General features: G+C 40.9%; 1 protein-coding gene across 1 annotated transcript in view; it reads right to left on the reverse strand.

Annotated features, from left to right (window-relative positions):
• The window catches only part of CRYZL1 (crystallin zeta like 1), a 52,401-nt gene that overhangs the window by 27,242 nt on the left and 13,002 nt on the right, over positions 1–12,157 (reverse strand). Inside the window, exons 3-5 of the mRNA NM_145858.3 lie at positions 8,101–8,178; positions 5,414–5,486; positions 124–168 (exon numbers count right to left, since the gene is read on the reverse strand). Coding sequence (NP_665857.2) covers positions 124–168; positions 5,414–5,486; positions 8,101–8,178 — 196 coding nt within the window. The remainder of the gene's footprint in view (positions 1–123; positions 169–5,413; positions 5,487–8,100; positions 8,179–12,157) is intronic.

Consider the following 12,157-nt stretch of genomic DNA (forward strand, 5'->3'; position numbering starts at 1 on the left):
CACCCAGCCGGGAAAGTACTTCTATATGAAGCAAGGTCACAGTGAACATTAATAGTTATATAGAAAAAACAGAGATGACGGTAAAATAGATGACTTGAAATAAGACTATGAACTATAACTTACCAACTACTTCATCATCTGGTTGAAAGAATGATACCTTGCTTCCAACTAAAGAGTGAAGAAAATTAATAGTTAATATTACAAGTTTATTAAATATAATTCTTATCTATTAAAATACATTTTTAAAATCTGTGGATTTGTAAAAAGACTGATTTTGTTTAATGTGGAAAAAAGGACCAAAATGTCAATAACATTTTGATGGTCTGTAAAGACTACAGGATATACAGCACTTCAAATCTGGATTCTCTAGATATTTGGGCCATGCGATTATTGTGACCAGGAGAAGTATCTCTCTCTTTGCCTATTTAGTTGACTTTATTCATTTTTTTTTTGAGATGGAGTTCTGCTCTTGTCAACCAGGCTGGAGTTTGTGGCACGATCTTGGCTCACTGCAACCTCCACCTCCCAGGTTCAAGTGATTCTTGTGCCCCAGCCTCCCGAGTGGCTGGGACTAATGGCATGCACCATCATGCCTGGCTAATTTTGTATTTTTAGTAGAGACAGGGTTTCACCACCTTGGCCAGGCTGGTCTTGAACTCCTGACCTCAACTGATCCACCCGCTTTGGCCTCCCGAAGTGCTAGGATTACAGGTGTAAACCACTGTGACTGGCCTCTATTTAGCTGACTTTAAGGAAGAAGGAGTAAAGAAACTAATCTATTCTATAGCTTCTATGATAATTATATTGTTTTCTACTCCTCCTGTGGCTAGCCCAATCTGTCTTTATTTTTGTTGCAGAATCTCATACAACAGGGAATTCTGAGAATGCAGCAGGACAAGCCGCAGACAAAACTCTTCAGACACTGAGTTAAAGAAGGAAGGGCTTTATTTGGCCGGGAGCTTCGGCAAGACTCACGTCTCCAAAAACTGAGCTCCCCAAGTGAGCAATTCCTGTCCCTTTTAAGGGCTTACAACTCTAAGGGGGTCCGTGTGAGAGGGTCGTGATCGATTGAGCAAGTAGGGGGTACGTGATCGGGGGCTGCATGCACTGGTAATCAGAACGGAACAGAACAGGACAGGGATTTTCACAATGCTTTTCCATACAATGTCTGGAATCTACAGATAACACAACCGGTTAGGACAGGGGTCGATCTTTAACCAGGCCCAGGGCGTGGCGCTGGGCTGTCTGCCTGTGGATTTCATTTCTGCCTTTTAGTTTTTACTTCCTCTTTCTTTGGAAGTAGAAATTGGGCATAAGATGAGGGGTGGTCTCCTCCCTTAAGAAGAGTGACGTTAAAATTACTTTGATTTGGGAAATAAATTCAGGTTGGTACCAAGAAGTTTTCTGGAACTTTATAGAAATGATGGCCGGGCGCGGTGGCTCACGCCTGTAATCCCAGCACTTTGGGAGGCCGAGGCGGGTGGATCACGAGGTCAGGAGATCAAGACCATCCCGGCTAACACGGTGAAACCCCATCTCTACTAAAAATACAAAAAATTAGCCGGGCGTGGTGGTGGGTGCCTATAGTCCCAGCTACTTGGGAGGCTGAGGCGGGAGGATAGCGTGAACCTGGGAGGCGGAGCTTGCAGTGAGCCAAGACTGCGCCACTGCACTCCAGCCTGGGTGACAGAGCGAGACTCCGTCTCAAAAAAAAAAAAAAAAAAAAGAAATGATATAGTTACATTTTCTCTGCATATGTAGAGAAAAAGCCTCGACTATCAGTCAATTCATTTGAGTAGTTTCATTCAATGAGTTACAAGAGGAAAGGGGAGGAAAAAACTCCAAATATTGTTGAATGCCTCCTTGTGCCCAGCATTGTTGTGTGTTTATGCATTTAAACTTCACAATGTACCAATAAGGTAGGTATTATTATTTCTATTTAACAGACAAGGAAGCTGACATGAAGCGGTGAAGTAAGCTGGAAACCTGAATCTGGAAATGGCCCCTTTGACTGGCTCTGTCAACAAAATGGCCCCAGAGTGCATTTGTTGCCACTAGCAAGTAATTCGAAGCCTGGTATTTCTACTTTCAAGTCTTTCTTTTGGAGTTTGCTTCTTCTTTGGCTCCCTCCTGTGCCATCATCCCCCAATCCTTTTGGCTTCTGATTCACTATACTTTTATCTTTCCCTTCTACTGCTGATCCCTGTCCTCCTAAGGTCACTCTGACTCTTTTTTTCTTGGTTTCTTTCATACTCCTCTTCTTTTAATTGACCCTCAAACAGTGCATTCCAAAGGGTTCTTTGTTTACATCTCTCCTCCTTTTCTACTCTATCCCTTGGAGAACTCATCAATTCTATTATTTCAAATACAACCTACATGCTGACATTTCTCAAATATGTACTTTCCAGCATAGATCTCTCACCCTTGAGCTTTAACTCATTTAATTGCTTACTAGATATTGCCAGTGAGATGTCACTTAAGTTCCTTGAACTCAGTAAGTATAAATCTAAACTCATAATATTCCTCCAAATTGGATCATCTTCCTTTATCAAATGTTGGTTCCAATTCAAGCCTGAACAAGAACTCTGTAAGCCATTCCTGGTTCTGATCTGTTTTTAATTTCCCAGTTACTAGGTCCTGCAGACTTTATTTCCTCAATATGTCTTGAATCCATCCCTCTTCTCCACCTCTGCCACCACTGTTGAGGTTATGGACTTTGCTGTTTCTTGCCTCTTGGTCTACAACCCAACCAGTCCTCTTGCCTTTAGACTCGTTTGCCTTACATCCACCCTTCCTTCAAATGCCTACTCTAATAATCTCCCTAAAATACAATCTGATATCTAAGGCTCAACCAAAGGTCTGGCCCTTGCCTATCCTCCTGCTTCATTTTAGGAAGGCAGGAATTAGTGTTCACATAATCATGAAAGTATTTTGTACAATATCTTTTATTCTGCAATATTCGAAGGATAATTTTTTTTTCTTTTTCTTTTTTTTCTTTTGAGACAGGGTCTTGCTCTGTTGGCTCAAACTCCTGTGCTCAAGCCATCCTCTCACCTCTGCTTCCCAAAGTGCTGGGATTACAGGTGTAATCCACCAAGCCCAGCCTAGGAGGAGAATTTTCTTGACAAAATGTTTCTCTGCTACCAAGTACCATACCCTTGACGCCTGCCCAGGACTTTATCTTGCTCTAGCAATACCAAACTCTTTGTAATTCTTATACACATCCCACTTTCACTTGCTTGTCTTTGCTCATAATATCCTCCCTGCTAGGTGTGATTCTCAACATGCTTGCCCCTTATGATTTGGACATCTTACTCCAAGACGCCTTTCCTGTTTCTTCTGGCCAGGTTAAGCAACTTTCTTCCAAGCTTACATAATAATCTGCTCATGTGTATATTTGTCTCTCCCCTAGAGAGTGAACCGTTTAAGGGCAAGGAGTTCGTTTCACTTATATCCTAAGCAGTTAGCAATTGCTCATTAAATGTAAAATGAATGATCATCTAGTTATTGTATTTATTTTTCTACAGTCTGAGAAAAAAGAAACATAATTATCATTTAGCTATGTCAGAAGATTACATAGAGTATCAAATCTATTCTACGTTAAAATCCCAGGTAAAACTCAAATATACTCTAACATACCTTAACACATTTATTCATTCGCATAGGAGGTAAAAGCAAACACGTTAATCATGAACCACCTGTTAGTGAATATTAAGTATAGGTCTATTTAGAAACAAATTATATCAAATGCCTGATATAAGGCTTACTGTTCTGTATGTAAAGATCATTATTTCATCATAAAAAGACAATATTGGTCATTCTATTCAATATATGATTACTTGTGGATTTAAATATATAACCCCTAAATATTTACCACTGTAATAAGCTCTTCACTTATAAAATACCAATTGAGTCCTATTTTTCTTTTCAATTAAAAAAAAAAAGGGGCCAGGGATGGTGGCTCATGCCTGTAATCCCAGCACTTTGGGAGGCCGATGTGGGCAGATCACTTGAGGTCAGGAGTTCGAGACCAGCCTGGCCAACATGGTGAAACCCCGTCTCTACCAAAAAATACAAAAATTTGCCAGGCATGGTGATGAGCGCCTGTAGCCCCAGCTACTTGGAAGGCTGAGGCAGAGTTGCTTGAATCTGGGAGGCAGAGGTTGCAGTGGAGCAGACATCACGCCACTGCACTCCAGCCTGGGAGACAGAGTGAGACTCTGAAAAAAAACAAAAACAAAACAAAACAAAACAAAAACCAAAGAAGCTAGACAAAGCCAGGCATAATGTCGTGTACCCGTAGACCAGGGGTGTCCAATCTTTTTTTTTTTTTTTTTTTTTTTGAGACGGAGTCTCGCTGTCGCCCAGGCTGGAGTGCAGTGGCGCAATCTCGGCTCACTGCAGCTCCGCCCCCTGGGGTTCACGCCATTCTCCTGCCTCAGCCTCCCGAGTAGCTGGGACTACAGGCGCCCGCCACCTCGCCCGGCTAATTTTTTGTATTTTTAGTAGAGACAGGGTTTCACCGTGTTAGCCAGGATGGTCTCGATCTCCTGACCTCGTGATCCGCCCGCCTCGGCCTCCCAAAGTGCTGGGATTACAGGCGTGAGCCACCGCGCCCGGCCGGGGTGTCCAATCTTTTGGCTTCCCTGGGCCATACTGGAAGAGAAAGAATTGTCTTGAGCAACACATACAATACACTAACACTAAATGACAGCTGATGAACCAAAAAAAAAAAAACATCATGTAATTTTTTTTCAAATTAATAGATTTTTTTTTGAGACAGAGTCTCGCACTTGTCGCCCAGGCTGGAGTGCAGTGGCGCCATCTCGGCTCACTGCAAGCTCTGCCTCCCAGGTTCACGCCATTCTCCTGCCTCAGCCTCCCGAGTAGCTGAGACTACAGGCGCATGCCACCACGCCCAGCTAATTTTTTGTATTTTTAGTAGTGACGGGGTTTCACCGTGTTAGCCAGGATGGTCTCGATCTCCTGACCTTGTGATCCGCCCGCCTCAGCCTCCCAAAGTGCTGGGATTACAGGCATGAGCCACTGCGCCTGGCCAAAAAATCACATAATGTTTTAAGAAAATTCACGAATTTGTGTTGGGCTGACTTCAAAGCTGTCCTGGGCTGCATGCTGGTTGGACAAGCTTGCTGTAGACTTAGCTACTCAGGAAGCTGAGGCAGCAGGATTGCTTGAACCCAGGAGTTAAGGCTGTAGCTATGATCAGGCTGGGCAACACAGAGAGACCTTGTCTCTCAAAAAATAAAAATAAAAATAAAAAAGGACATGTTCATATAATTAAATTTAAATTTGAAAGGCTGTATATAATTTTATGTACCAGTAAACCAATTAGCTACATTTAATCTCTTTTACCTTAGAAAATAAATACATATACTCACATCTGTATACTTACCATCTAATACAATTCCAGCAATTTCTCTCCCAACAGGAAATAAATCCTTTTTCATCTTCATTTCTGCCAGAAGCTAAATCATGACAAAGGCAGTTAACATACTATTGTCAGAAGAAATCCTGGACTCCATTATATATGAGGAAAGCGAGAGTAAAAGTCAAATCACAGAAAGAGCAAATATGGTTCAAGTTTTGGAACTGAGACAAAGCAAATAACTTCACAAAATAGGTTTCTCTAAAGGGTAGGAAACCAAGAATTTACTGAGGCATTAGTTGTTCTGCAGGACTTAGGAATGAATATTATTATTCAAATTACCATTAACATCCTTTGTTTAACATCTTTACTCTGCCAAGTATGAAGGGAAATTATGGCCAAAACATTTCTTGATTGGCTAAACACTATCAGTCATCTTACTCAGGTGAAGGGAGGGTAGTCTGGAGAGAAGACTGTTGAATAAGGGGGTGTGGCCAATGAGAACAAAGGGTTCTCCATTCCTATACCCTTTAAAATCACCTGAGTTCTCAAAAGCCTTGGGTTAGGGAGTGGGTGAGAAGTAGTGATGGATATTAACAGGTAATCTGCCATATAATTTCAGATTCATGGTGACTGGAGTTTCTTTTGGTTAAGGCTAAATTTTTAAGAGATTGGTATTTTATTAGATTGTGACCAAATTAACTGTAAGTACTTGTCTTTTGAAGTAACAGGGTATACTGTCTTTAAGCCCGTGGTTTAAGCTCCTGGCACTTAACACTACAGATGCTGAACGTATTTGTAGATACCACAATATTTTAGGAACAGTAAGTAAAAAGAAATTAATTCTCTTCTATATTTATTTTTCAATTTTCTGATCTCCTGTATTGTATACTTGATGGTCAGAAGTCTCTTTTTCAATGTGGAACATAATACTTTTCTTAAGATGTTCATATGACATTCTTATAGAAGTACTGGGTGTTTTACAGTGTTTCTTTTCTATTTTTTTTTTTTTTTTCAGATGGAGTCTCACTCTGTCGCCCAGGCTGGAGTGCAGTGGTGTGATCTCGGCTCACTGCAACCTCCGCCTCCCAGGTTCAAGCGATTCTCCTGCCTCAGCCTCCTGAGTAGATGGGACTACAGGCACGTGCCACCATGCCCAGCTAATTTTTGTATTTTTAGTAGAGATAGGGTTTCACCATGTTGGCCAGGATGGTCTTGATCTCTTGACTTCATGATCTGCCTGCCTCGGCCTCCCAAAGTGCTGGGATTACAGGTGTGAGCCACTGTGCCTGGCCACAGTATTTCTTTTATGCACATTTGTATGGAGTTAAAACTATGGTTTTAGCAATTGCATCCTGGCTCCTTCACTTACCATAAGCATTTTCTTACATTACCCACACAGTTTTCATAACCATTATGCTTAACAGATGTGCAATATTTCATTCAACCGATTTTACTATAATTTACTATTTATTTCTGTTAGACAAGGAGATTATTTCTTAGACTTGGATTTTAATGGATTTTTCCATTTTAATAAAAACATCTGAAAACAGAAGTCTGCAGACAAGGTCTAGTACTAGTACTCTTGTGAAAAGACTTCAGGGGATCCCACTAATGCATTTCTCAAGTCATGCTCATGTTACAGAGTTGCCCAGTGAAAGCCTATACCTGGTCTGTAATTTCCTAAGTGTGACTTTATCAAAGAAGACTTTTAGGTTCCTAAAAATTATAGTCACATTATAATCCAATAAGTTACGGGTCATGTAAACTATGGCATTAATCCTAAAAAATAAAACAAAACAAACAAAAAAACGGAGTAAATGGACCTGCTCAATTTATCATGGCACATTTAACCACAGTTTATTTACCACTGAAAACATTCTATGTATTTCATGGTCAATAATGAAAGATTACTGCAGGGTAATGTGAGGTAAAGATGTATGTTTATGAGAGAGCGACACAAAAAGAAATGACAAGAGAAATATGAACCATAACTAGTAATATTAGTTAAATATCTAATTGGTAGCTAATAAACTGATTAGGTTTCTAGTTTCTATTTTATTATTTATTTCTTCCTTAATAATAGGCTTTGTTAATTATAAACTCTTAGTTTTTTGCAATGTAAAGGAGTTTATAAAATATTATAAAATATTTACATTATGTCTGTTTTCTTATAAAATATTTGTATTTTCATATAAAATACGTAACTTCAATCAGACTAATAATGTCCCTTATATAGAAATATACAAAAGCACACTAAATTTTTTCCCCTAGCTGTTCTATTCTAAAGATGGTAGGCTGGGCGCAGTGGCTCATGCCTGGAATCCCAGCACTTTGGGAGACCGAGGCAGGTGGATCCCCTGAGGTCAGGAGTTTGAGACCAGCCTGGCCAACATGGCAAAACCCATTTTTATGAAAAAACATACAAAAATTAGCTGGGTGTGGTGGTGCGCTCCTGTGATCCTAGCTACTCAGGAGTCTGAGACAGGAGAATTGCTTGAACCCAGGAGGCAGAGGTTGCAGTGAGCTGAGATTGCACCACTGCACTCCAGCCTGGGCAACAAGAGTGAAACTCCGTCTCAAATAAAAAAATTAACAAAAATGAAGATGGTAATAAATTCTTCACATTGAGAGGTCAGTTATCGTTATATTTATACACTAAATACACTAAGAAACTCTCATTTTACTTTGTGCCATAATAAAAGAACCAATACCTTTGTATTTATCTGGCTCAGAGCACAAGCTTTAACTTGAAGTTTCACAAAGTTATCCTCTGTAACAGGAAGATCTTCCTAGAACCAAATGATAACAAAACAATATGTTATTTTACACATTCCTATGAGAATATGTCTTTATGCTGTGAAAATTTTTACATGTAATTAAACAAAATTAGACAGACCCTAAATCTCACAGCTAATTTTAACAACTATAAGTAATTATAGAAATGTATATAATAAAAAAATAAAGAAAATTTGGGGGTACAATTTTAAAAAAGCTTTTGGATACATATTTTTAAAAGTACTCAAATAACAATATGGATATATATGTAGACAATAAAGTTAGGATAACAAAGTAAAGCAGCAAATACTGTACTCCTTTATTTCAACCTAAATAATCTCAGAACACCGGCTCTTCACATTTACAGGGATATCCTTAAACACATATACACATAACGTATAACCTTTACTGATTTTTTTTTTTTTTTGAGACAGAGTCTTGCTCTGTCACCCAGGCTGGAGTGCGGTGGCGCGATCTCGGCTCACTGCAAGCTCTGCCTCCCGGGTTCATGCCATTCTCCTGCCTCAGCCTCCACAGTAGCTGGGATTACAGGCACCCGCCACCATGCCCAGCTAATTTTTTGTATTTTCAGTAGAGACGGGGTTTCACTGTGTTAGCCAGGATGGTCTCGATCTCCTGACCTTGTGATCCGCCCGCCTCGGCCTCCCAAAGTGCTGGGATTATAGGAGTGAGCCACCACGCCCAGCAGGCCTTTACTAATTTTTAGAATTTCCTTTTTTTGTTGGTTTTGTTTTGAGACAGGGTCTCACTCTGTCTCCCACGCGGGAATGCAGTGGCGCAATCACAGCTCACTGCAGCCTCAACCTCCAAGGCTTAAGTGATCCTCCTGCCTCAGCCTTCTGAGTAGCTGGGGTTACAGGCATGCACCACCACACCCAGCTGATTTTTAATTTTTTTGTAGGGCTGGGGTATTGCTATGTTGCCCAGGCTGGTCTCTAAGTCCTGGGCTCAAGCAATCCTCATGCCTCAGCCTCCCAAAGTGCTGGGATTAAAAGCATAAGACATAGTGCCCAGCCCTTAAATTTTCTTAACGCTATAAGTGAAATTCTTTTTTAAAAATATAATTAAAAAAAAATAGAGATGGTGTCTCGCTGAGTTGCCCAGGTTGGTCTTGAGCTCCTGGGCTAAAGTGATCCTCCTGTCTTGGCCTTCCAAAGTGCTGGGATTACAGGTATGAGCCGCTGTGCCCAGCCAGTGAAATTCTTTTTTCATTTTTTTTTGAGATACCCAGGCTGGAGTGCAGTGGCGCAATCTCAGCTCACTGCAACCTCTGCCTCCCGAGTTCAAGTGATTCTCCTGCCTCAGCCTCCTGAGTAGCTGGGATTACAGGCATGAGCCACTATGCCTGGCTAATTTTTTTTTGTATTTTTAGTAGAAGATGGGGTTTCACCATGTTGGCCAGGTTGGTCTTGAACTCCTGACCTCAGGTGATCTGCCTGCCTTGGCCTCCCAAAGTGCTGGGATTGCAGGCGTAAGCCACTGTGCCTGGCTAGCCAGTGGAATTCTTTAGCGTCCTTTATTCAACTCTTCCTTAACATGTGCCTTGGGCATTTCATCATGCCCCATGGGATTCTGGGCTCAACATACCAACGTAATTGAACCTAATTATCCCTCAGATTCCACTTCTAGATAGAAATTCAAAAGCAAGGCCGGGCATGGGGGCTCACGCCTGTCATCCCAGCACTTTGGGAGGCCGAGGTAAGTGGATCACTTAAGGTCAGGAGTTTGAGACCAGCCTGGCCAACATGGTGAAACCCGGTCTCTACTAAAAATACAAAAAATAGCTGGGCATGGTTGCGCATGCCTGTAGTCCCAGGTACTTGGGAGGCTGAGACAGGAGAACTGCTTGAACCCAGGAGGTGGAGGTTGCAGCGAGCTGATATTGTGCCACTGCACTCCAGCCTGGGTGACAGAGCGAGACCCTGTCTCAAAAAAAAAAAAAAAGAAAAAGAAAAGAAATTCAAAGGCAAAAATAGTCCAAATTCAGACACTCAATGTCATCCACCTATATTATTAAATACAGTATCACCTCATCTAAACAACTGAACCTGGTACTAATAATTAAATCAGTCTCCTCTACCCAATATGCCCACAATTAGATGAAAAGCTAGCCAAGAATAGCCACTTACATAGCCCCTCCTGTGATGTATCAAAGGGATTACTGTGTTTTGTCATGAACACAATCTGAGAACATCTTTTTAAATCACAGTTTTGACAAAACTTGGTGATAATATGAAGATGTTCATTAATATTGGTGAGTTTGTGAATTTTACTCATGATTTTGTGAACCTGGAGATGTTTCTTCCCAAGAGCCAATCAACCCCTGACCCTCATCCTGATCAATGATAGAAGCCAAGCTGTCTGAAACACAGACTCCTGGCCTAATTGTTCTTGTTTTTTTGAGACAGGGTCTTGCTCTATCACCCAGGCTGGAGTGCTCTGGTGTGAACATGGCTCACTGTAGCCTTGACCTACACAGGTGGGTGCCACCATGCCCAGCTAATTTTTTTGGTAGAAATAGGGGTCTCACTTTTTTGCCCAGGCTGGTCTTGAATTCCTGGGCTTAAGTGATCCTCCTGCCTCAGCCTCCCAAAGTGCTGGGATTACAGGCGTGTGCCACTGTGCCTGGCCTAAATGTTTTAGGAGTTAGTGACAGACAAGAGAGAAAACTGGATTGTGTTCACGATCAAAACTCTCATAATTATTATGAAATACTGATTTACATATAACACTTACTTTTAATCCCTAAATTTATGGAAGAATGATTTTGGCTTGCCACAAATCTTTCTAATAATCACCAATACTGTATATGAAAATTCTACTATCTATGCTTAAAGTAATAAAAAACTTGGTGATAATATGAATATGAGTGATCATTTAAAACTTAGTAAATCAGGTAACTTCAGCACTCTCTGAAATGTGTATGGAAAATAATATCTTTCTACCTCTTCCATTTCACATATGAGACATGGTTTTTTTTTTTTTTTTTTTTTTTGAGACCGAGTCTTGCTCTCCTGCCCAGGCTGGAGTGCAGTGGCGTGATCTCCACTCACTACAAACTCCGCCTCCCGGGTTCATACCATTCTCCTGCCTCAGCCTCCTGAGTAGCTGGGACTACAGGCACATGCCACCACGCCTGGCTAATTTTTTTTTATTTTTAGTAGAGACAGGGTTTCACCGTGTTAGCCAGGACGGTCTCGATCTCCTGACCTCATGATCTGCCTGCCTTGGCCTTCCAAAGTGCTGGGATTATAGGCGTAAGCCACCGCACCTGGCCGAGACAAGGTCTTTTCTGAAACATGGCTACTTTCTGGAAACTTGCATTATTGTGGTATTCGGAATACATTGGGTTACTTTCACAACATGTAAGACTATTAAGTTTGTTCTGTCTTCCTAATACCTTTTACACTACCACCCTGAGGAACTAAAAACTCTTTTGCAGTAATTCTTTTAAAAATATTTTTTAAAGTAAGGTAGTGTAATGCCTCCAGCTTTATTCTTTTGGTCAAGATGGCTTTTGCTATTCAGAGTCTTTTGTGGTTCCATATGATTTTTAGGATTATTTTTCTATTTCTGTGAATAATGCCACTGGCATTTTGATAGGGATTGAATTGAGTCTGTAGAGGGCTTTGGGTAGTATGGACATTTTAACAATATTAATTCTTCCAATTAATGAACATAGACTATCTTTCCACTTATTACTGTTCTCTTCAATTTCTTCCATCAATATTTATAGTTTTCATCGTAGAGATATTTCACCTCCTTGGTTAAATTTATTCCTGGGCATTTTATTTTTTATAGCTATTATAAATGGGGTTGCCTTCTTAATTTCTTTCTTTTTTTTTTTTTTTTTGAGACAAGTCTTGCCCTGTCGCCCAGACTGGGGTGCAGTGTCAAGATCACGGCTCACTGCAGCCTTGACCTCCTGGGCTCAAGTGATCCTTCCGCCTTAGCCTCCCAAGTAGCTGGGAC

The sequence above is a fragment of the Homo sapiens genome, chromosome 21 (genome assembly GCF_000001405.40).
Source record: "Homo sapiens chromosome 21, GRCh38.p14 Primary Assembly".
Lineage (NCBI taxonomy): Eukaryota > Metazoa > Chordata > Mammalia > Primates > Hominidae > Homo > Homo sapiens.